The sequence below is a fragment of the Homo sapiens genome, chromosome 2, assembly GCF_000001405.40.
Source record: "Homo sapiens chromosome 2, GRCh38.p14 Primary Assembly".
Lineage (NCBI taxonomy): Eukaryota > Metazoa > Chordata > Mammalia > Primates > Hominidae > Homo > Homo sapiens.
In genome coordinates this window covers 39,391,972-39,418,274 of record NC_000002.12, presented here as the reverse complement: position 1 = coordinate 39,418,274, position 26,303 = coordinate 39,391,972, and the positions used below count along the sequence as shown (strand labels likewise).

The following is a 26,303-nucleotide window of genomic DNA, read 5'->3' as shown; positions in this document are numbered from 1 at the left end:
ATTGGGAGCTCTTTCAGGCTCTTTCCTGTGTCCCATTCATAGGTCCCCATCATTTGTTTTTTTTTTTTTTTTGAGACGGAGTCTTGTTCTGTTACCAGGCTGGAGTGCAGTGGTGCAGTCTCTGCTCACTGCAACCTTCTGCCTCCTGGGTTCAAGCAATTCTCCTGCCTCAGCCTCCTGAGTACGTGGGACTACAGGCACGCGCCACCACATCCAGCTAATTTTTCTATTTTTTTAGTGGAGATAGGGTTTCACCATGTTGGCCAGGATGGTCTTTGTCTCTTGACCTCATAATCTGCCCACCTCGGCCTCCCAAAGTGCTCAGATTACAGGTGTGAGCCACTGCACCCAGCCATCATTTTGTTTTTAATGCTTACTTTCTGGCACTGCAAGATGCTTTAGGCTCATCTTGTATTTCTCTGCCCTAGCCTGATAAGCAGACATTTTTCCAAGGAGCCCTGGTTCCTTCTGTTAGAGAATGGTGTTAGATACCAAGATCTGGGCTCTGAGTATGTTTGCTGTTGGCGTGTCATTGATTCTAGGATTTCTCTTAGTAGATGAAGCTAGGAAATACGTGTATATATTGCTAAACCACGTATACATACATATCTATAATTATTTTAGTATCTCTCTGTCTGTATCTGTTTTAAGCTAAACTGATATCTCTTGATCTAATCTAGCATCACATGGTTTGTTCTGGCCTTCCCCCATTGTTTATCTGTAGTTTCCTAATCCAGTAGTAAGAAACCTGGCTTTCGGGCGGGTGCGGTGGCTCACGCCTGTAATCCCAGCACTTTGGGAGACGGAGGGGGTGGATCACAAGGTCAGGAGATCAAGACCATCCTGGCTAACACGGTGAAACCACGTCTCTACTAAAAATACAAAAAATTAGCCGGGCGTGGTGACAGGCGCCTGTAGTCCCAGCTATTCAGGAGGCTGAGGCCGGAGAATGGCGTGAATCCGGGAGGAGGAGCTTGCAGTGAGCCGAGATTGTGCCACTGCCCTCCAGCCTGGGCGACAGGGCAAGACTCTGTCTCACACACAAAAAAAAAAAAAAAAGAAAAGAAACCTGGCTTTCACTGCCTGGTATCCATTTATGAATTTGCTCAATCTCAGTATATCTGTATAGCTTTTTAGAAATTTTCACAACTCTGTTACAAGTTGACAAGCCAAACAGTTCTCGTATTTTTAAGTTACTCATTTACTCTTTGAAATAATAATAATTATACACCACTTACTATGTGCTAAGCATTATTCTGTGAACTTTTACATGTAAGAACCGATTTTAGTCTTAATCCATGCTATGTTGTAGGAACTTTAATTATCTCTATTTTACAAATGAAAATAGAGGGGCCCAGAGAGCTTTTGTAGTTTTTTTCCCAAGGCTCCACAGCTAGTAAATGGCAGAGCCAGCAGTTGAACCCAGTTTGCCTCCAGACTCCATACATTCGGCTATACTGCCAAAAATAGATGTGTGAAAACATTGTAGTGTTGATTATCATTTTTAAAAATATTCTTTTTTATGCTAAGGAAGAAGAGGGTTCAGTGATCTCAGAAAAATCCCCAAAGTACCCTTCTGGATATGAGAGGGGACAGTGGTTAGAAAAGAGTAAATTTCTTTAAATAGTCAAACTTGCAGAAATGGAACTGTATACTCACTAAAGGAAAATAATGCTTGCTTTCTTCTGGTTGAAGAGATTGTGTCTGTGAGGAAAATAGTTCATGCTTTTAAAAATCTTCTGGAATAAAACATGGCCAGCTTTTTTTTCTGCCCTCCTTAAACCAATCCATGATGATTGCCAGATTATTTTTTCCTTCTGGTAGAAGCATGTGGTTCTCACCCTCTTCACATATGTCTCTTGCACAGAGGGGAAAGGAGTGGGTCAGAATTGCAGTTAGCAAAGGCGTTTTATTGGCTGCCGATCAAGTCAAGAACCAAATTAGTTGAAGGAATTTCTTTATTAACATGCCAGAAACATCTTATCTATTTGGTTTTACCAGAGCCTGTTTAGCATTTGGTTTCATTGGTAAGCTCATGTAGAAGGCTTAGTTATTCTGAAGTTTTGTTTTCAAACAGGACAGCCCTCCCAACTCCACCCTCCCAGCATCTGACTGAAAATTTTTGACAGTTTAATTGAGATATAATTCATATACCATACAATTTACCATATAATTGAATGAGTTACCCAGTTAGTATGACTTAAATTTGAGTCCTAAAATCAGAAACAAGATAGTGATAGAGGGAATTTATTCTTCCAAATGTTATTTTTATATATATATATATATATATATATTTTTTTTTTTTTTTTTTTTTTTTTTTTTGAGACAGAGCCTTGCTCTCTCGCCCAGACTGGAGTGCAATGGTGCGATCTCGACTCACTGCAACCTCCACCTCCTAGGTTCAAACAATTCTCCTTCCTCAGCCTCCCAAGTAGCTGGGATTACAGGCTCCCACCACCATGCCTGGCTAATATTTTGTATTTTTGGTAGAGATGGGGTTTCACCACGTTGGCCAGGCTGGTCTCGAACTCCTGACCTCAGGTGATCCACCCACCTCGGCCTTCCAAAGTGCTGTGATTATAGGCGTGAGCCACCGTGCCTGGCCTATAATTATTTTTATATTAAGTACCATTAATGAACACCAAAAGTGACTATTAATGCCTGACATTAATTTATAAGGATTGGAGAGACATAAATACCACAGGAACTTGATAAAGTGGCACAGTGTGATTGATCCTCATTGAAGTAATACGTACGGTTATCTTTTCACCATAATTTCACTTTCCTTTCTTTTAATTGACTGTCTCCTTTTTCCCACTCAAATTTAAGGGCATTTAATTCCGTAAGTCTGTTTCTAAGTAATAATTAAATTGAAACTAGATTGTACTTACTTACTTGTGCACCAATAAGTGCAAAAGGATTTTGCACTGAGAATTCCCATTATTTTAGTGCAGAACTTGTCAAATTTTCCTTTGTTGCTTAAACAAAGTCATATCAGTAAGCATAAAACATCTGAAGGAAATTTTAATACTTCTGATGCTTGTTCAGTTGTAGTACATACTTTTAAAATGAAGCCCATTCATTTGGAACTGTTTTTGAGAGCTATAACATTTAAATAACATCTAGGAGAAGTTTGGACTTTTACAAGTGTAGGCTGTCATTTTGCAGAAAAGAAAATCTGGTTGTGAACCAAACCCAACTTAGGGATTTGGCTCATGGAATTGCTTATAACCTCTTGAACTTTTCAGTTCTCTAAAAAATTGTTGGTGATAATATTTAAGATTCTCTATGAAGTTGGTGGTTTAATTTTGGATAAATGAATTCCCATTTTTTACATAATACTTGGCTTTCATACAAGGTTCAAAGTATTAGATTGGTACATACTCTTTTTTTTTTTTGAGTTGGAGTCTCACTGTGTTGCCCAGGCTGGAGTGCAGTGGCGTCATCTCAGCTCACTGCAACCTCTGACTCCCAGGTTCAAGTGATTCTCCTGCCCCAGCACCCCCCGAGTAGCTGGGACTACATGCATGTGCCACCACGCCCAGCTAATTTTTTGTATTTTTACTAGAGACGGGGTTTCACCGTGTTAGCCAGGATGGTCTCGATCTCCTGATGTCGTGATCCGCCCACCTGGGCCTCCCAAAGTGCTGTGATTACAGGCGTGAGCCACCGCACCCGGCCTAGGTTGGTACATACTCTTAAGAGAATTGAGGCATAGTAGGCAGACAGAGTAGAAGAAAGAGATCTGCAAGCAGGTGGTAGTGGGGGTGGAATGTGGGGGCCATTTCTCAAAAACATTACTGAAATGTTTTCTGAAGAAAATGTATTCTTCTAAAAAATTTGCCTAACATTATTTTGTGAGCTGTTTTGGAATTGCTACTAGCCTCTTAATTCCCCCGCAATAGTTTGTGAAAACTATTTAATAGAAGATTTTAATGTAAACTCCAAAATTCCACCTACTAACTAGGATTTAGTAGTAAGATACAATTTTAAGGTTAAGAGCAGGATTTTTGTTCCTGCATCTGGGGTGCAGTGATCTTCAGAGAAGATTGGTGCCTCTCTTTGCTTCTCATTTTGGCTTTTGATGGAGAGGTTGGTGAGTGTTTCTGTTTTCTAGATTTGGCTATTTCTATAGAGATTAGGAACATGTTGCTTATTGTAAAGTATCAAGACAGAGAGGAACAAAATCAAGTTTAACTATGAGAGTGCTTTAAAGCTGACCATGAGAATCATGTTCTCTAGCAGATATTCCTTGAACTACTCTTCCCTTGCAGTCACCTTGAAAGATTGTAATAGGAATTAGCGAGTAAGTGTGTATGCTCTTACTTAAAGATGTAGATATTGATATGAGGAGGAAAGGAATAATGTACTTTCGGAATATATCTGAATCGTATATTTTCTGTTAAGAAGCAAGAAATTAAAAGCCCCTCTTGAGTGACAAAATGATCCAAAGCAGAGCTTCACTTAAGAGGTTCTTAGCACCTACAAGGTGGAGCCTGGGCATCTTGTATGCCAAGAACTCTACAGGTAGTTCTGAGAAGACAGTTGTTAACGGACTCCCCTGTCTGGTGATACAGGGGGCCCACCTCTACCCTGGTCTTGCTTCTCTTACAACTTTTTCTGATTGTGTTCACTTTCTATTTAGTCCGTATTCCTGGACTCTGCACCTCTACCTTTTTACTTTGCATGTACAGTCAATGGATTCTCACAGTTAATTGCAGTCATTGTAGTGACTGGATGTGACCCATTTTTGGCTGTCTTTGGTTTCATATATCTTGTGATTGTGCTTGTTTTTCTCAGCAATACCAGTATCTGACCACTGACTGTACCCAGTCTGTCCCCTGGGCTGCACTGGCATTTCCAGACTTCTGCCTTAATTGCCCCCTTTCCTCATAATGGTGGAGAGACATTAAGGGGAATGGTGGTTCTGTTCCTAGCTCCCTCGTTAATTAGGTAAATGTGTGTGATTCAGTTCCTTAACCACTTAGGACTATAGTTTTCTCATCTCTTGCTTAAATCCTCTTCAGTTTCTGTATTATTAATAGAACTTGGTTACTCATGTATTTTTCTCTTTCTGATACAAGGAATTTAGCCTGACTCTCTAACTTTTACTGCATGAAAGCTTTGATGAATTTCTTTATACTCTAGGTAAAATGGAACATCGAGATGTACTTTCTGCTCATTTCTAAGACAAAAAGCTTGACATTTTATAATCCTTTGTTGGGTTTCTCCTCGTTAGTCACTTCAGTGAGGTAGACAAGTTAGTTGCATGTAATAGACAATTAGAAAATACAAGAAATCTTTAAAAATATTGAAATGGCAGGTTACTATCTACCAGATAGATACTATTTGGTCAGATGACCAAGTAGTTAGGAACTTAGCCTCTTGATTGCCAGATTTGAATTTTAGCTGTACTAGTTTTTAAGGTTTTTTTTTTAATCTTGGACATGTAATTTAATTTCTTTATGCCTCAATTTATTCATTTGTAAGACGAGAATAGTTAATGATATTTAAATTGTGAAGTTTAAATAACAAAGCATTTAAATCTTAGTACATAACCTGTACATAGTAAGTACTTCATAAACGTTAACTACTATTGCAGTAGTATTTGTTCCTGTTCTTCATTGTCATGTAAATTTAGGGCTATTTTCATGATCGCCGTTTAGGAAAGCCCTTCTGAGTGTTTCTAGGGTTTTATTTTTTGTTTGTTTGTTTTTATTTTAATAGCTTATCTCAAGTCATATTCTATCATATCATCTAGGTATTTTTGCTTTTCCTCCTGCCTAGGACTAATCAATCTAATTTTTTTTGTTTTTATTTCCCTTAACTGGAATGTAAGCTTCGTGGGATCAGGGGCCTTCTTTGTCTTATTCCTTGTTATATCTCCAGCTTCTAGTGTAATAGATGGACTACAATAGAAGGTCAGTAAATATTTTGGGGGACGACATTAATTGCTACAGTGAGCTGTTCAGCGTATAGCTGAAAGGAGATGGTGGTGACTGCAGCTAGGTGTGGCGCGATCTCCTGTAGATCCAATTTGGTGGTCTTTTTCCAGGGCCCTGACCCGCGCTAGCTGTTACTGATTTTGCCCCTGAAAGTATGTTCTCTGACTTAATTATTTTGGTCTTATTTGGCAAATCATTGCAGTTTACCAAAGTGTGTTTTCTGGAACATTTGATCTTTAAAGTGATCTTCCTAATGACTGTAATATTCCAATTCCACAGAACACACTTTGGGAAATGCAGAGTTAGTGTACTACTGAAAGCCTGGTTTACCCTCACTCATTTCTTGCCTTGTAAAATGATATGGTCAGGAAAGTTAAAATGAAATAATATATGTGACATACTTTGTAAACTCTCTAGAGTGCCATGAAGCGTGTTGTCAAGTGTTTAAGCTTCCTTTTATTAGTCACCATGTAGATTTAGTCACCATGTAGATATGTAGCCATTACCCTTCGAACCTCAAGCCATTACGTTTAGTCACTTTCCCTCTCTGCAGATCGTCACATTTTTTTCATTGCTAACAGTCACAGTTCCTTAGAGTTATTTTGTTCAATTCTGACAAACTTCTGTGCTCATGAAAGTACTTGACAGATACTTGATGCACTTAGAACTGAATGGATGACGAAGCCTTTGCCAGATAAAAGCTTACTGGTTCCATCCACTTTCTCACCAGTGGTCATCAGAGAAATGGATTTCCAGAATTGTAACATTGTAGTTTAATCGTCTAGCAAAGACATTAAGCATAAGCATAAACCATATCTTTGTGTCCCTGTACCCGGCACCATACCTGGCATGTGATTAGCTCTCAGTAAGTATTTAATAACTAAACAAGACACTGAAACCATACACCATTCTTTCCTCATGCTCACATCATGAAATGGAGTCACTGTTTAGAGAGGGAATGTAAATTGGTACACTCAATCTGGAATATGTACCACAACTTTCTAGTATGATTTAAGTAGGAAAAATGTAGGGAAAACATCTGCCTTCGTGTCAGAAGTGAGGGAGTCAAACTTACTGGCTTTCTGTCTGTACTCTGCTTTAAAATTGGATTTTAAATAACGGTTTTAACTAAAAATAGACGCCAAGAAGAAAACATTTCTCTGATGTAAATATCCATTTCCCAGTCCTCACAGGAAATTCACTTAAACTTAAGGCATACAATTATATGGAGTATACTTTGTTTTTAAAAATTACTGTTGAATTACTGTCCTGTATTTAAAAAGACATAGATTCTGTTCATTTATCTCCAGCTTAAGTAAAAAAAATGGCATAATGATATCAAAATATTTTGTTCTTTTAAACAGTTTCTCAAAGGTGTATTTAATGCTAATGTAGATTATATGGTGAAGATATGTTTCTTTGAAAAGATGACATACAAAAACAATTCTAGGATATCAGTAGCAAAAACTATGACATATGTGCCTTTGATGTCATTGTACCGTATATCCTTTTGTATAGCTAAAATGGCTATTCTGTGCATTTTGGTTTAATTGCTATAGTGAAAATTACATTTTTGAAGAGCTAGAAAAGCTTTTCAAAACTTGGAAATGTTGTTATCCTTCATATTATGAAAAGTACTAGTTTTAGTCTTCCACCATGCAAAGACCTTTTTAAAAATGATCTTTTAAATATTATTTTCATGATAAATAATTTACCATTTGTCTGTGGAAGAGAAATACTGCTTTCTGCACACACTTGTGTATGTGTTCCAAAATCATGTAATAAGATTTTTGGCTGTTAGAGTGACATGTGACTGTAATGGTTTTCAGTAGAGTTTGTTATTATAATGTATTAGCAAAGAACCAACATTTATAAAGATAGAAAGCTTTACAAGAAATGCTAAGATCTTCATAATATTACCAGTTGCTTTGTTATGATTTTATTGCTCTAATTTTCTAGGATTGTAAAATTATGTCTAATTATTGACATGGGTACAGGATGTTGCGTGAATACAGGGAACTCCAAATTCTTGATTGTGGCTATTTGTGGTATGTCCTGCCAATCTATAAAGGGTTCAGCTGCCTCTTATGTGTAGATGATGCAGTGGCCTGTTGCTGAACTAGAAATCAGCTGTTGCTTTAAATGACAGATTAGCAGCTCCCTCCTCCACAATCCCAAACTACCATACCCAGACCTAGGTGTAAGTAGAAACTAAAAAGAGATTAACCAAAGTTACTTCTTCGCTGTAGTCAGAAAAACGTAAAGGATATTGAAAAAGCAAATGTTGGGCATAATCATATGTAGCATTTTATGTTTCAGTTTGTGGTAAGAAGTTTTTCAAAGTACCTTAACAATGGAAATACCTTTCTGCTATTTTCATTCCATCATTGGAATTAGCACTTAGAAACTATCCCTTTAAGTGCTATTGAGTCTTCAGTTATTGCTTAACCACATTGTCCTTTATCTCAGTGCCTGTGAATTAGAGATCTGTCTTTACATTTATTATAGTACTAGGTAAATAGGCATTTATACCAACTGTAACATAAACAGAGATTCCATGTAGAATATGGATAATTATTTTTAGTCTATTTCTGTTCACACTGTTAAATTAACCTTGTTTTTGTTTATTTTCAACTCTGAGTATATCTCAATATCTACTATGCTTTATTTTTCTCTTCCGATTTCTGTTCTCTGCATACTCAATATTTTCTGGAGAAATTTACAAACTGGCTGAAACATCTAGTTTAGCTTTAAGTGATTTGTTGTTGTCGTTTTGTTTTTAAATGTTGCCCAGGCTGGACTCAAACTTCTGGGTTCAAATGATTCTCCTGCCTCAGCCTCTAGAGTAGCTGGGACTATAAGCTGGTGCCACTGCAGCCAGCTTCCAAGTGGATCATTTATTGAAGTTCAGCAATATTAGAGTGGATCCTTGAACAACAGAGAGGTTAGGGGAGCCAGCCCCCCATGTAGTGGAAAATCCATGTATAACTTTTTGACTTCCCCAAAGCTTAACCACTAATAGTCTACTGTTGACCAGAGGTCTTACTGATAATATAAATAGTTAATTAACGTGTATTTCTTATATGTATTGTGTATTATATTCTTACAATATAGTAAGCTACAGAAAAGGAAAGGCGAAGAAATCATAAGGAAGAGAAAATATATTTACTATTCCTTAAGTGGAAGTAGATCATCATAAGTGTCTATCCTTGTCTTCATGTTGAGTAGGCTGAGGAGGAAGAGGAAGGGTTGGTTTTGCTGTCAGGGTGGCAGAAGTGAAAGGAAAGACAGAAGAGGCAGGCACAGTATAACTTTACAGAAATACATTGTAATTTCTGTCTGGCTTTTTTGCTTTTTCATTTCTCTAAAAATGTTTCTATATGGTACCAATCCTCCCACTGTTAGTTTCAGTGCCTGTATCATGGGAGGATCCCTGTCATAAAAGAAGTCAAAGCAGTCTTGGAGAATCAAACCCATTTGCCAGATTGCCTGATGTTACTTTGCTTTCTGGCACTGCTTCTTCTTTGTCTTCTTCCTCATCGTCTGGCACTGCTTTAGAAGCACTCATCTCCATCAAGTTGCTTCTGTTAATTCCTCTGGTTTGGTATCTGTTAGCTCTTAAATTTCTCTAAGATCCATATCTCGAAACCCTTCACCCACCCAACCCCCCACCACCTTTTTTTTTTTTTTGCCATATCTGCAATCTCTTTCATGATTTCCTTGACTGACTCTCATAAATCCTGTGAAGTCATGTGCAACATCTGGGCATAGTTTTCTCCAGCAGGAATTTTTTGTTTCAGGCTTGATGGCTTTAAAGGTTTTTTCTGTAACAGCAATATATCTTCAATGATGAAATTCTTCCAGACATTCATGACATTCTCTCTGTTGGTGTTCTCTTCCATTGAATTGACAGTCCCTTCCCTAGAGTATCGTGTCTAATGACCCTTAAAGGTCCTTATGACCCCCTGATCTAGATGCTGAATTAGAGATATTGTGCTTGGGTCAAGTAGACTATTTTGACATCTTCAGTGTTGAACTCCTGGGATCTGGGTGGCCAGGGGCATTGTCTAATATCAAAGGAACTTTAAAAGGCAGTTCCTTACTGAGAAGGTACTTCCTGACTTTACAGACAAAGCATGGAAGGAACCAATCCAGAAAAAGGGTTTTGTTATCTAGATGGTTTTTTTTATTTTTTGCTTTTTGTTTTTGTTTTGTACAACCAAAAGACTGGCAGCTGGTGTTTATTTTTTCCCTTTAAGGCTCAAGGGTTAAAAGCTTTGTAGATAAGAGCAGTCCTGATCATAAACTTGACTGCATCTGCACAAAACAGTGGATGGAGTTAGCCTATCCTTTCCTGCCATAAATCCTGTGCTTGCTTCTCTTCTTTACTAATATCTTGTGGCATTTTTTTCCCAAAATAGGGCACTTTCATCTGCATTAAAAAACCTGTTCAGTGCTAGACACAGTGGCCTACACCTGCACTCCCAGCACTTTGGGAGGCCGAGATGGGAGGGTCACGTGAGCCCAGGAATTTGAGACCAGCCTGGGCAACATAGTGAGACCCCATGTCTATAAAAAATAAGAGCATTAGCTGTATGTGGTGGCATGCACCTGTGGTCTCAGTTTCCATCTCAGGAGGCTGAGATGAGAGGATCACTTTAGCCCAGGAGGTTGAGGCTGCAGTGATCCAAGGTCATGCCACAGCACTTCAGCCTGGGCAATAGAGTGAGATCCTGTCTCTCGCTCTATAAAAAACAAAACAAAAATAACAAAAACAAACAAACAAACCTGTTTAGGCAGATAACCTTTCTCCTGAATGATTTTCTTAATGGTGTCTGGGAGCTCCTCTGCTGCCTCTTGGTTGGCAGTAGCTGTTTCTTCTGTTTTCTTGACGTTTTTAAGCCAAACCACTTCTTCAGATTATCAAACCATTCTCCAACTGGCATTCTTCAACTTTAAATCCTTTTTTTTTTTTTTCCTTTAAGTTGTTAATAGAAGTGGTGAGAGCAGACATTCTTCCCTTGTTCCTGCTCTTAGGAAGATACTATTTAGGCTTTCACCATTTCCTTTGATGTTAGCTTTAGGTCTTTTTCATATGCTATTTGCTATATTGGCACAGTTCTCTTTATTTCCTGTTTGCTGAGTTTGTATCAGGAACAGATTTTAGATTTTATTTACTTTTTTATTCTGTGGAGATGACCAATTTTTGTTCATTTTTGGTCTGTTAATACAGTGAATTATACTGATTGATTTTTCTAATACTAAACCTTGTATTCTTAGGATAAATACCACTTGATCATGATGTATTATCCCTTCTAACATTGTATTTGATTTGCTAAAATTTTAAGAATTTTTTATGTTCATGAGGTATATTTGTCTGTAGTTTTCTTGTAACATCTGTGTCTTGTTATCAGAATAATGCTAGCCTCAATTGAGAAGTATTCTTTTCTTTTAGTTTTTCTACTTAAGAGTAGTTTACATACCGCAATTACAGTGTTGTAATATTCTGTTTTTCTGTGTACTGTTACCAGTGAGTTTTATACCTTCAGATGATTTCTTGTTGCTGATTAGCATCCTTTTTTTTTCTGATTGAAGTACTCCCTTTAGCATTTCTTGTAGGACAGGTCTGGTGTTAATGAAATCTGTCAGTTTTTGTTTGTCTGGGAAAGTCTTGATTTCTACTTCATGTCTGAGGGATATTTTTGCTGAATATACTATTCTAGGGCAAAAGTTCTTTTTCCTTCCTCACTTTATGCCTTTCCCCTCTATCCTGGCCTGTAAGGCTCCCACTGAAAAGTCTGCTGTCAGATGTATTAGATCTCCAGTGTATATTTTCCTTTCTCTTGCTGCTTAAAGAGTCTTTTCTTTATCCTTGACCTTTGGGAGTTTGGAGTATTCAATGTCTTGAGGTAGTCTTCTTTGGGTTAAATCTGCTGGTGTTTTATAACCTTCTTGTACTTGGATATTAATATCTTTCTCTAGGTTTAGGAAGTTCTCTGCTTATCCCTTTGAATACACTTTCTACCCCTGTCTCTTTCTCTACCTCCTTTTTAAGGCCAATAAGTCTTGGATTTGTCCTTTGGAGGCTTTTTTCTAGATCTTGCAGATGTGCTTGTTTTTTTAATTCTTTTTTTGTCTCCTCTGTTTTCAAATAGCGTGTCTTCAAGCTAACTCATTCTTTCTTCTGCTTGATCAGTTTTGCTATTAAGAGACTCCAATGTGCTCTTCAGTATGTCTGTTGCATTTTTCAACTGCAGAATTTCTGCTTGATTCTATTTAATTATTTCAGTGTCTTTGTTAAATTTATCTGATAGGATTCTGAATTCCTTCTCTGAGTTATCTTGAATTTTTTTTAGTTTCCTCAACACAGCTATTTTGAATTCTCTTTCTAAAAGATCACATATCTTGGTTTCTCCAGGATTGGCCCCTGGTGTCTTTTTTATTTTGTTTTATTTTTTGAGATAGGGTCTCACTCTGTCACCCAGGCTGGAGTGCAGTGGCATGATCTCGGCTCACTGTAACCTCTACCTCCTAGGCTTAGGTAGGTGATCCTCCCACCTCAGCCTCCCACGTAGATGGGACCACAGGTGCACACCACTGCAGCTGGCTAATGTTTGTATTTTTTGTAGACACGGCATTTCAACACGTTGCCCAAGCTGGTCTTGAATTCCTGGGCTCAAGTAGTCTTCCTGTCTCAGCCTCTCAAAGTGTTGGGATTACTGGTGTGAGCATCGTGCCCAGCCTTGGTGTCTTATTTAGTTTGTTTGATGAGGTCATGTTTCCTTGGATGGTCTTGATGCTTATGGATGTTTGTTCATGTCTGGGCATTGAAGAGTTAGGTATTTCTTGTAGTCTTTCTAGTCTGGGCTTGTTTGTATTTGTCTTTCTTGGGAAGGCCTTGCAGATATTCAAAAGGACTTGGATTTTGTAATCTAAGCCATACCTGCAGTAAAGGACAACCCAATCCCAGTAACACTGTAGTTCTAGTAGACTTGTAGAGGTACGTCCTTGGTGGTCTTCAATAAGATCCAAAAGAATTCCCTGTATCATAGGCAGTCTCTTATTCTCTTCCTTTACTTTTTCCTAAAGAAACATCATTTCTCTCTCTGTTCTGAGCTGCCTGGAGCTGGGGGAGGGGTGACACAAGGTCCTCTGTTGCCACCCGTACCAGGACTGTGCTGGGTCAGACCAGAAGCCAGCACAGCACTGGGTCTTGCCCAAGGCCCGCTGTGACCCCTACCTGGTTACTGCCTATGTTTGCTCAAGACCCTAGGTATCTGTAATCAGCAGATGGTGAAGCCAACCAGGCTTGTGTCCTTCCCTTCAGGTTGAGGAGTTCCTCTAGACCCCAGGTGGGTCCAGAGATGCCATCTGGGAGCCAGGGACTGGAGTTAGAAACCTCAGAAATCGGCTGGGTGTGGTGGCTCAAGCCTGTAATCCCAGCACTTTGGGAGGCCAAGGCGGGCGGATCCCCTGAGGTTGGGAGTTCGAGACCAGCCTGACCAACATGGAGAAACCCCGTCTCTGCTAAAAGTATAAAATTAGCCAGGTGTGGTCGTGCAAGCCTATAATCCCAGCTACTCAGGAAGCTGAGGCAGGAGAATCGCTTGAACCCAGAAGGCAGAGGTTGTGGTCAGCCGAGATCGTGCCGTTGCACTCCAGCCTGGGCAATAAGAGCAAAACTCCACCTCAAAAAAAAAAAAAAAAAAAAAGAAAGAAAGAAGAAAAAAAAAAGAAACCTCAGAAATCTTCCTGGTGTTTTATTTTACTGTGGCTGAGCTGGTACTCAAACCATGAAGCGTGGTCTTTCCCAGTCCTTCCTCCCCTTTCCACAGGCAGAGGAGCCTCACGCATTGGCCACCACCACTACAGGCCCATGGGGAGTACTGTCAGGCTACCGCTGATGTTCACTTAAGACCTGAGGGTTCTTCAGTCAGCTTGTGGTGAGTGCTGCCAGACCTAGGACTCACCATTCAGGGCAGTGGGCTCCTTTCTGCCCCAGTGCAGGTCCAGAAATGCTGTCCAAGAGCCAAGGCCTAGAATCAGGGACTCCAAGAGTCCACTTGGTGCTCTACCCCACTGTGGCTGAGCTGGTACCTAAGGTGAAAGACCAAGTCCCCTTTACTCTTCTCTCTGCTTTTCTCAAGCAGGAGTCTTTCACTGTAGCTACCACAACTGGGCATGCGCTGGTTTTCACTTGAAGCCAGCACATGTCAGAGTTTCACCCAGGACTCACAGCATACTACCTGGGTTTTGCTGCTGGTTATTCAGGGCCCAAGGGCTCTTTAGTCAGCAGATACTGGATCCTGCCTGAACTGGGTTCTTCCCTTCAAGGCAGCTGGTTCCTTTCTGGCCCAGGGTGTGTCTAGAATATTATCTGGGAGCTAGGGCCTGGAATGGGTGCTTCACGATCCTAACTGGTCTTATATCCTAGTGTGGCTGAGCTGGTATCCAAGATGCAGGTTAGAGTCCTCTTCACTCTTCCTTCTCTCCTCAAGCAGAAGACAGGGATCTTTTTTAGAGTCACTAGCTGGGGTTAGGGGAGGGGTGGCACAAGCACTCCCTTAGCTGCCCTGGCTGGTGTCATAATAGCTTGCATGCCCCCCAAGTCCACTGGCTCCAAGCCCCACTCAGCCCTACGACTTTGCCTAAGAGTTGCAGTCCTTGTGGCCTAGACTGCCTTTCAGGTTTATTGAGGGCTGCAGAGTACTTCATCCCATGGTGGGGAGGCTTGCCAGAACTCAAGTTCTGACTGTTGGGACAGGCACTTCCCTTCTGGCTAGGGCTGATCTAAATACTCCCTCCATGGTCGGGTGTCAGCTGAGTTCAATGCAAAGTCTCACAATCACTGTGCTTTCCATCCCTCAAGCACACACATTCTCTGCGCCACACTGCCACTGTGGGTGGATGGGGGACGTTGGCAATTCAAGATTGCCTTTCCTTCAGTGCCTCTTTCAGTGATATCTTCAGTGCCTCTTTCAGACATCTTCAGTGCCTCTTTCAGTGATATGAAGTTAAAACCAGGTACTTTGAGTGCACACCTGAGTTTTGGTTCTTATAAAGGTGCTTTTTTGTGTGTAGATAGTTGCTAAATTTGGTGTTCCTGCTGGGTGTCAGTGGGTGGAGTCCTGTTCGGCCCTCTTGCTCTGCCCCTATCTTGAGAAGTATTCTTTTCATTTTTCTGAAAGAGTTTCTGTAAAATATTTTCTTCCTTCTGTGTTTGGTGGAATTTATCAGCAAAGCCATCTGGGTTTGGAGGCTTTATTATTGGGCATTTTAAACTATAGATTGAGTTTCTTTTAGAAATATAGGGCTATTTAGTTTATTTCTTTAATGAGATTTGGTAGTTTGTGTCTTTCAAAGAATGTATTCATTTCATCCAAGTTGAAATTTAATGGCATAAAATTATTTATAATATTTTCTCATTATCCTTTTAATATGTGTACAATCTGTAGTGATGTCATGTCTCTACTTCCCAACATTGGTAAATTTGTGTCTTCTCCCTTTTTTTTTTCTTTCTTTTTTCTTTTTGGCCTGTCTTTTTTTCTGATTGGTTTGGCTAGAAGTTTATCTTCTTAGAGGTAACAGAGCCTTAATTTTATTGATTTTTCTCAAAGACCCAATTTTTGGTTTAATGGATTTTTCTGTATTGTTTTTATTTTCTATTTAATTGAGGTACACTCTGATCTTATTTTCTTTCTTCTGCTTACTTGAGGTTCATTGGCCATTTGCTTTACTTTAGTTTCTTAAGGAGGAAGCTGAAGTCACTGATTTCCTGTTTCCTTTCTTTTTTTCCTTTTACGAGCATTTGTTGCTGTGTTTCTTTTAGCTGTGTATCACAAATTTTGATATATTTCTCTTTATAAGCAATTTGATTATGATATGTCTTAATGTAGCTTTCTGCTCATTTCTCTTGCTGGGAGTTCATGAAGGTTCTTGGAGGTGTAGGTTTATGGTTTTCTTCAAAACTGGAAAAAATTTGGCAATTAATCAAAAAAATTTTGCTCTTTACCTGTTTCTTAGTCTACTTGAAGTTATCCCACAACTAACTGATGCTCTCTGTTCATTTTTTCCAGACAGAGAAAAGACTGTAGTTTCTATTACCGTTTTCTTCAAGTTCACTAATCTTTTCTGGTGTCTGATCTGCTCTTATTCTATCCATTGTAGTTTAATCTCAGTTATTTTAGTTTTCATGTATTAATATGATTTGGGTTTTTTTCGTAGTCCGTGTTTCTATTTAACTGGCTTAGTCTTCACTTCTTGCACATATGTAATGTAGTTATCATAGCTAGTTTAATGTTTCTACTAATTCTGTTTTTGAATCTGTTTTATTGATTTTTCTTCTTACCTTATAGGTTGTATTTTCTTACTTTTTTACATGATTATTAATTTCTATTGTATTTCAGACATTGTGAATTCTACTTTGTGCCCTGGATATTTTTGTATTCCTGTTAGTATTCTAGGGCTTTTTTCTGTGGTGCAGTGAAATTACTTCAGAAACAGATTCTTGTATTTATTTGTTTTTTCTGAGACAGGGTCACACTCCTGTCATCCAGGCCGGAGTGCAGTATTGCCATCTTGGCTCACTGTAGCCTCAACCTCTCCTGCTCAAGCGAAATGCCCACCTAAGCTCCCCAAGCAGCTGAGACTACAGGCACGGGCCACCATGCCTGGCTTTTTTTTTGTATTTTCTTGTAGAGATGGGTTTCGCCGTGTCACCCAGGCTGGTCTCAAACTCCTCAGCTCAAGCGCTCCACTTGCCTGGGCCTCCCAAAGTGCTAGGATTACAGGCATGAACCACAGCGCCTGGCCTTGCAGGTATTATTTCGAAGCTCAGTTAGGTGGGAACAGAGCAGCTGGTAGCCTACAGCTAATTTTCCCCAATACTAAGACAGTATTCTTCTGAGTATTCTACCTGGTGTCTCTTAAATTATGAAGTTTTCCAGTCTGGCCGATGAGAGCATGAACTATTCCCAACCCTTAGAAATCTTTGGTAATTGTTCTCTCTCTTCCTTTCTGGTGACTCTGCTCTAGGCCTTGTGTGTTTCCTCACAAGGATATGGGGATTGGTATTGAGCTGAAATTTTGAGATGAAGATGGGACACCCCCCTCCCCTTCCTGTCTGTATAGTTGTCTCTGTTTTGGTACTCTGTCCTACGAATTCTAGCTTTCTTCATTTTCCTGTATTCTTAGCTTCATCATCTCAACTTAGGGTGACCATCAGGCTCCATCTGGGTTCCCTTGCCCTGCACTGAGGCCTGGAAACTGTCTCTAGAATATAAGCCGGGACAATTGTAAAACTCTGTAGGATTTTATTTTTCTTTTTTAAGGAATCACTGTAGCACACTACAGTGATTCTTGTATTTATTTGTTTTTTCTGAGACAGGGTCACACTCCTGTCTCAGAACTAACCGATATTTCATGTCTAAAGACTAAGTGTTATATGTTTTGTTCATTTTTAAAGCTTTTCTTTTAGGTGAAAGGGTATAGCTGCTTTCTGCTACTGTATTTTGGCCATATACCTTTCTTTTGGAAGCTGAAAATTACTGTATTACTCATTAGTTAAAGAGGAAATTACAGTGAAAATTATACAATATCTATTTTGATGAAAAACAATTAAAGCTATAGATATAAATAAAGCAGGACTTCCAGTCATAATTTATAATAATAAATTCACTTATTAAAAAATAAAAAATAAAATGATTAGATATGAACACCAAGGAATTAAAAAAAGAGCAGAGTAAACTCATAGGCACTGGAAATGTAAATAATAAGGAGGAACAGGAACTAAATGAAGGGGAAGAAAGAGAGGGGGGAACAATAAAACCTAAGCTCAACATTTGACAAGATATGTAAAAAAGAAAAACCTGGTAAGAACACCCAAGAAATAAAAGAGAAGGCATAAATATTATTTGTTAATTATTGTTGCAAATATAAAGAGCATACCTACTAATTTAGCAGTACTTTAAAATATTATGAGCAACTTATGCTAATAAATGTGAAAGCTTCGATGCAAGGATGGTAGAGTCAAGACTGGAGACTGTAGTATTCCAGAGAAGAGATTATGGTGGCCTGAACTCTAGGGCACTAGTAATAGAAACAGAGAAGTTAAAAACATACAACAGACATTTATAATTCTGTGAATGGAGGGATGGGGAGGGTTAAGGTGTTGGGTTATAGCGTTCTCCCTTGGGCAGTTGCGAGATGTTGGGTGGTATCACTACACCTAAAGTATAGCAGGGTTTTTGGGGGGATTAATTTGAGGTACATGGATGTCGGTAGCATTGTCTAGTTGGTTATATGGGTCTGAGCTTTGAGCTTACTGAAGTCTGGGGAAATTGTCTTATAAACTTACCAACTTGTTTTTCTTTTTGTGAGCATGCCTTTAAATGTTTCCAGAAATATAAAATATCCTCTTTTTAAACCACATTAAACCCTCCCCCATATAAATATTATGTACCTGGCTAGATCTTAGTTAGATATGAGAACAAAGATCCTACTTACAGCAGTCTCTTGTAATAAACACTAAAATGTATGCTTGTAACAGGAGCCCTTAACTTTTTGGCATAGTTTCTGTGTAAGAACTCAGATTTCTCTGAGTGATATGGCTGTGACTTAGATTCTGATTCTCTAAAAGTCATTGCCAGGCTTGTCTGACCCTGCTGCTAGGTAGCTAGGCAGTCTTCACTAAAATATCGCCTCAAATCCTTGCATTTAACTACTTAAGTTCCTAAAATACTTGAAAATCAGCTGTACTCATTTATGTGACTGAGGTGCTACATGTAGACTTTTGTCTTCCTCTTGGCTTGAACAAAACTCCAGGTCACCTCAAAGATGGAAATGAGATGGTTCCCATGTGTTTTTATTTTGTTAAAGAGATGTGATGTATATTGGAAATGGCCTTTCCTCTGAGGCTTTCATTCTTTGACTGGATTGAAGGCTGCTGCGCACTACCTTAAGCCTACCAGTTTTAGCATAATCCTAGCCTGACCTGCACTGAACTGGCTGTTATTAAAAACCTTGTCTGTGTCATCTGAAGTATTCACTGCCTGTCACAAGTGGTACTCTTCTTGCAGGCTTCTTAGTGACATATAAATTACAACTATAGCTTGAACAAGGTAAACAATGTGGCTTTTTGTTACATAGTACAACATACGTTTTCAAAGCATAGTACGTTCTTTAGTTTTAATTGATAGATTGGGAATTTCGTGTGAGCAGGTTGATAAGTGTGATTGCATTTCTGATGTTTATGTTTCACAGAATTCTTTTTTTTTTTTTTTTTTTTAACGAGACAGAGTCTTGCTTTGTCTCAGGCTGGAGTGCAATGGCATGATCTCAGCTCACTGCAGCTTCCACCTCCTGGGTTCAAGCGATTCTCCTGCCTCAGCCTCCCGAGTAGCTGGAGCTATAGGTGTGCACCACCACACCTGGCTAATTTTCATATTTTTTGGTAGTGACAGGGTTTCGCCATGTTGGCCAGGCTGGTCTTGAACTCTTGACCTCAAGTGATCCACCCACCTCAGCCTCCCAAAGTGCTGGGATTATAGGCATGAGCCAATGCCTGGCCAATTATTATCATCATCATTATTATTATTATTATTATTATTATTATTATTTTAATTATTCCTGAAACCATCAAAGGAAAGGCTTACACCATGGCTTAGTAAATTTTTGGGGCCAAATATTAACCATGCCACCAATTTCTTATCTTTTTATTTCAAATTTAATTTATAATTTTAATAAAGAATGCGTTTATTTACGTTTCAAAATGCAAAGTGCTATTTTAAAAAGTATCCCCTGAGAAGTCTTGTTTCCCACCCATCCCCATCTGTCCCTTCTCCTTAGTTCATTTTATGTATTACTAACTGTATTTTTATTAATTTTTGTTAATTTCTGTTTATTCCTTTAGACTTTATGCAAAAGGCTAATTCACACTAATACTTTGCACCCTGGTTTCTTTATTTTTATTCCATGGAGCTCTCTCGTTATATCAGTCAGTATATAAAGACCTTCCTTATCTTTTTTTTTCTTTTTTTACTATATAGTATTCGTTTGTTGGTATATGCTGTAGTTAATTCAGCCAGTCCTTTTGCACTTGAATTTGTTCAGTCTTTTGCTATTAACAGGCAATTTCATACTGATTAAGCTTGTACATGTGTATTTCTTATGTATGTAGGTTTCGTGATGGTTTCGTTTCCTAGAAGGGTGTTTGCTAGGTGAAAGGGTACATGCGTCTGTAATTTTGATTGATATTATTGGATTCCCTGTATATATATCTTGCATTTTGCATTTCAGCAGCAATATATGAGGGTCCTTGGAATGCCCCCCCTTTCCCTACAGCTTGACAAGTGGTTGGACTTAAATCAGATTTTGCCAATCTGATAAGAAACACTATCTCACTGTATATTTTTTGTTTGCATTTCTGTTTTCAGCTTATCATATATTCAAGGGCCATTTGTATTTCTTTTCTTTTTCACATACTTGTCCATTTTTTCATTGGATTATCTCCTCTGTTTCTAAGAATTCTTTATATGGGTGTATTTCCGGACTTTGTATTTTGTCCCACTGGTCTGTCTATTCATTTGCCACTCGTATACTTTTAGTTCTTGAGGCCATATAAAGTTATATTGTTAGAGCTGTTTTCTCATTGCTCTTCATTTTCAGAGTTTTCCTGGCAATTACTGCTTGTTTATTTTTCAATAAGATCTTTAGAATCAGCCTTTCTAGTTCCTGGAGGAAAAAAATTGATACTTTTATTGGGTTTGTATGAATTTTAATATCTTAAGAAGAGTTGATACCTTTATGATGTTTAGCCTCTCTAAGAATATGATTATAACTTTCTCTTCATTCAATTCTACTTTCATTTCTTTAAAGGTTTTTGAAGTTTTCTTTAAGTTTGCACATTTGTGATTAAGTGAAAATATACAAATATTTAGTTGCTATTGGAAATGAAGTCTTTATTTTTGCTGTTGTTTGTATTATAATATGTTGTATATATGAAGATTATTGATCTTTGTATATTCTTTTCATAGGTTACTATCTTACTGAATTCTCTTATGTTTGTAGTCACTAATTCTTAATATTGTTTTAAAGCACATTTTATGGAGTTGGTGAGTACTATATAGGATTTTTTTTTAGTACCAAAGTCTTGGTTGAGAGACATTACACTATCCATTTTTACTGGTTTAGATATGTAGCATGATGAACCTCAGCAAGTTTAAAAAGAATCATTTCTTTATTTTGACTTGAAATTTCAAGTTTTTAAATTGATGAAAAGTTGTCATTTATTGTGGCAGGGGTGATGTGAAATCCAGCCACTTATTGGTATGTGTTACAACTTAGCTAAGTCCAGTAATAGTCAGTACATACTACTAAATGATTCAAAAGCAAATGGTCTTTTAGATCAAGTAATAGATCTCTTAAATTGAGATGTATTTACCTTAGATAGTAAGAATGACTCTTTGGTCTCTTATAAGAGGTGAAGAGAGATGCTGTTTCTGGGCTAGTATTTTTGCTAAAATGGTTTTATGAAAAACTTTCATAAGTTAAAAATTTGGGGCTGGGCGCGGTGGCTCACGTCTGTAATCCCAGCACTTTGGGAGGCCGAGGCGGGCGGATCACAAGGTCAGGAGATCGAGACCATCCTGATTAACAGGGTGAAACCCCGTCTGTACTAAAAATACGAAAAATTAGCCGGGCGTAGTGGCGGGCGCCTGTAGTCCCAGCTACTTGGGAGGCTGAGGCAGGAGAATGGCGTGAACCCAGGAGGCGGAGCTTGCAATGAGCCAAGCCATTGCACTCCAGCCTGGGCGACAAAGTGAGACTCTGCTTAAAAAAAAAAAAAAAAAAAATTGGGGGCTTGAAGTTAAAGCACATTGTCTTGAGTAAAAGATATTGGTAGAAGTTCAGAAATGTAAACTGAATTGTCTTTTATCTTATTTTACCTAAGTGGACTATGGAATATTAAGCTATTGGTATACAAATACTTGTAGGCCGGGTGCAGTGGCTCACCTATAATCCCAACACTTCATGAGGTCGAGGTGGGAGGATCACTTGAGGTCAGGAGTTTGAGACCAGCCTGAGCAACATCGTGAGACCCCATTTCTACATTAAAAAATTTAAAAATTAGCCAGGTGTGGTGGTGCATGCCTGTAGTTCCAACTGCTCCGGAGTCCGAGGCAGGAAGATTGTTTGAGCCCAGGAGTTAAGAGGCTGCAGTGAGCTATGATGATGCCACTACATTCCAGCTGGTGCAACAGAGTGAGATCTTGTCTCAAAACAAACAGACAAACAAAAAACCCCAAAAACCAAACCTGTATTTCCCTTCCCCTTTTCCTGATATTTTAATATTTAAGTATACATATATTCTACATAATGAATACTGTATCTATCATCCTGAACTTTTTAACAGCTCTAGTCTTTTGTATACTGAAGCTTTCAGGCTTCAAATAAAGCATACATATCAAAATATTTTGAAGAGTAATTGAAATCTCAGTTTCTCCCCCTCCTTTTAACTAAACAGATGGAAAGAATTATTTGATAGTGTTTTCCAGAGCCCTTTATAATGTAGCATATTTGAGTGTCTGATTCTTTGAATAATGAGTGTGAGAAAATTGAAAATTGAAATGTAGAGCGCTATAGTAGGTTTTAGTAAACAAAGTTTTGTTATGTCACAGTAAATGGTAATGGATAAATAGGATAACAGGAGTGTCTTATATTTGGGAAATTACATTCATCCCAAAAGAACAAAAGCAGTAAGCAGGAAGACAAATTAGCTTACCCTAATAGTGAGAAAGGGAGCTGATAGTTTAGCCTCATGAGGTCAAATTATGTAATTTCTCTATTGTATAACAGAAGAGTTTCAGAAGCATTCCATTTTCTTTTTCAGATTAAAAAGCCAGCATTATCAGATAGTGGAAAAGCTTATTAATACTTGCTGTGTAGCCTGAATAAAACCATTATTTTAAAAATGTGTGTGTGTGTGTGTGTGTGTGTGTGTGTATGTGTACGTGCATGTAGGTTGTTTGGTAAAATCCACTTTTTATGTACTTGCTTAGATTTGTCAGCAGCAAGCTATGTTGCTAAATTTCTTTGGTAATTTTTATACAACAGAGCCCTTTGCAGGTGGGTTTATTGCACATTGCAATATTAGTACTTCATTATGTGTTGGTGTTATTTCTTGAGTGGGAACAATGGCATTCATCTCTTTTTTTTAATTAAACTGGATATTAGAATGCTGGAAGGTTGTTTAATTTCATCAGTGTATATCTGAACTAGTATTTTATCTGGTCTTAAAAATAATTGCTGTCATAGTGGAATCATTCTCTTGTTCCATTTTTGTTTCAGATGTTAAGAGTTACATTGTGATTTTCCTATTTCTGGAAGAATAATTAGAGTCTGATGGATTCAAATTCCTTCTGATGCACAGGAAAGCCCCTTTCCAGGCCAGTCTCAAGAAACTTTGGGAGGAGGATATAGCACTGACAAAGGGTGATAGAAACTAGTTATTATCAAAGATCTAGTTGCTGCCAGGCGTTTTTCTGTTTAGTCGTATCCTTGGCATCATAACCACATTCTGCCTATCTTATTCCCTGAAGTTGCCCTCTTCGTTTCTCCATAATCTGGTGTTACATTTCTTTCTCCTGTCCGTCTGGCCAAGCTCTTTTATAACTTATTTGTGAATATGCTGTTTTGATACTTGGCTGACTGAGTGAGCTCAGGTCCGTCTCTGTGGAGAGGAATGGCCCTCCTCCACTATCACCCCTTCCTTTGAGGACTGTTCTAGACACCTCTGGATTAAAAGCACAACAGAAAACATAGCTATTTATTCTTGGAAATAATTACCTAAGCAAAAAATAATGTGGCTCTTGTGAGTTTTTGTTCTGGAGAACCACAATCTAGAAAACCTGGGATAAAGTAGAATTTTTAACCATTTCTCTCCATTCCCATTAAATGACCTTAGTTCAAGCTGTCCTCATTTCAGGCTTGCTGTAGTGCAACGTGTCCTTAGAAGTTGTTCTGCCTTTCCCTGGCTCCTCCTTTATGTTTCTCCCAAGATTACTATAATGCAATTGAAGTAAATATCCAGCAGTAACAGAAGCAAATGAGATGTTGTTGAAGGGTATTGGGAACAGGAGAAAAGTGAAAACAGTGGTATTCATATTGGCCATTCTCTCGTAGTAGGCAGATTTTTAGCAAGAGGAGTAATGGTAGAAAAATTTTTATAAAGCATAACAAAAGTTTCTAATATTGCTAGGTGTGCTTTGTAAGAGTAATGTTCAAAGCCTTGATGGAGCTTAGTTATAAATTAATTTAATTTACTTTGAAATTTTATGTCATGAGAAAGCATATGTATGTCGTTCTCATTTCACTGATTTTAATGAAAGATATACAACTGACCCTTGAACAACACAGGCTTGAACTTGAACTACACATGTCCACATATGCAGATTTTTTTTAACCAAACTCAGTATTTGTGTAATGTGAAACCCATATATATATGGCTGACTTTTCATATACACAGGTTCTGCAGGGGCTGCTATGGGACTTGAGCAAGTGTGGATTTTGGTACACTCAAGGGTCCTGGAACCAGTCTCCTGCATATACCAAAGGTCAAGTGCAGATCCAGCCCTCAAATAATAGGCACAAATTCTAGAAATTGGTTCATTCACCCCAGATTTAAACATAAGTGATCTTAAAAAATGAAGTTTGTTGCTCGCTTTGGGAGCACATATACTAAAATTGGAATGATACAGAGAAGATTAGCATGGGCCCTGCGCAAAAAATATTTTAAAAAATTAAAATTTTAAAAAATGAAGTTTGCTATACATAGCTTTTTTTAAAAAATGGATGGATTGTAATGACTTCAGGTAAAAACGGGATTCTGAAATGGATAGGTTCTAAGTTTTATGACTGATACGTTTGAAAAGTATATTCTCTTGTAAAATGGAAATTATCTTAAGTAAAAGGCTTCTAAGGAGATAGATTTTATTGGGTAGAATATGTTGTGTTTTTATAATGTACTTAATCTGGACTACCATCAGCTGTGTAAACATTCTGTTTATTTTACACATTTGCCACCAGTTTGTACATTTTTGTGTTTCATTCTCTACATTCACAGGTGAAGTCCTCAGTAATTTAATGAAAACATTTTCTAATGAGCTCACTTAATCAGTTTCTCCAACTCAAAACAAATTGGAGGTAGGGATGCTGTACACACAGTCAGTAAGAAATAACCACTAACAGCCTGATGAGAGAGAAGGAGAAAACCAAAATGCCTCAAATTAAGTAAGCAGAACAGTCCAGATTTACTTAGAGAAGTGGTTCTTAACCTTATGGACACCTGGCTTAGTCCCCTTTATTCTGTTATAATGGAATACCTGAGACTGGGTAATTTATAAAGATCAAAGATTTATTTGGCTCACAGTTTTGGAGGCTGGAAAGTCCAAGAGCATGGCGATGGCATCCAGTTAGGGTCTTTGTACTGTGTCATCCCATGGCAGAAAGTGGAAGAGTAAGGGCGAAAGATCAAGAGAGCAGAAGGGAGCCAAACTCACTTTTATAACCAACTCAGTCTCAAGATAAACAACCTACTTCCTCAGAAATGACATTAATTCATTTTCTGGCCTTATGACCCAATCACCCCACCTGCCAATACTATTACATTGGGGATTCAGTTTCCAACACATAAGCTTTGAGGGACCCATTCAGACCATAGTGACAGCTAATGGAGTCTGTAAACATTTTTCTCAGCAAGAAGTATAAAACATATATCAGTTTGTATTCAGTGTCAGGAATTCTTGGGCTCACTGAAGCCCAGCCTTGGGCCCCAGGCTAAAAATATGATTTAGTATAGGGGCAAATAGCTTTATGTGTCTAATTTAAGAGCGTCACTTTGGGATGCTTTATAGATAATTTATATAATAGGCAATATTGAGTTAGCAGAAAATGTTAAATTTTGTATCACACGCTTAATAAACATACAATGTTTCTTTTTTGAATTAAAAAATATGCATTTTTCACTTAACATTTATCCCATTATCTGGAAAACTTAGTCTTCATTCCCCAGGGATACGGGTTAGAGAAGTGATATTCTGCATTTGCATTAAATAAGCTTCACTGTAATTTTTTTTTTTTTTTTTTTTTTGAGTAGGAGTGTCGTTCTGTTGCCAGGCTGGAGTGGAGTGGTGCAATCTCAGCTCACTGCAACCTCCACCTCCCGGGTTCAAGCGATTCTCCTACCACAGCCTCCCGAGTAGCTGGGACTACAGGCGCGCGCTACCTACCATGCCCAGCTAATTTTTGTATTTTTAGTAGAGATGGAGTTTCACCGTGTTGGCCAGGATGGTCTCCATCTCT

General features: G+C 38.3%; 1 protein-coding gene and 1 pseudogene across 5 annotated transcripts in view, besides 1 other annotated feature; both read left to right on the top strand.

Moving 5' to 3' along the window:
* MAP4K3 (mitogen-activated protein kinase kinase kinase kinase 3) overlaps positions 1-26,303 on the top strand; it is a 188,020-nt gene that overhangs the window by 19,011 nt on the left and 142,706 nt on the right. The window lies entirely within an intron of this gene.
* Positions 9,260-9,409: an enhancer, noted in NCBI's record as "active region_15616". NCBI's record gives its function as "activates an Ori minimal core promoter by ATAC-STARR-seq in GM12878 lymphoblastoid cells {active_cell/tissue: GM12878}" and the evidence as "EXISTENCE:reporter gene assay evidence [ECO:0000049][PMID:35858748]".
* On the top strand, positions 24,657-24,753 carry RNU6-1341P (RNA, U6 small nuclear 1341, pseudogene; annotated as a pseudogene).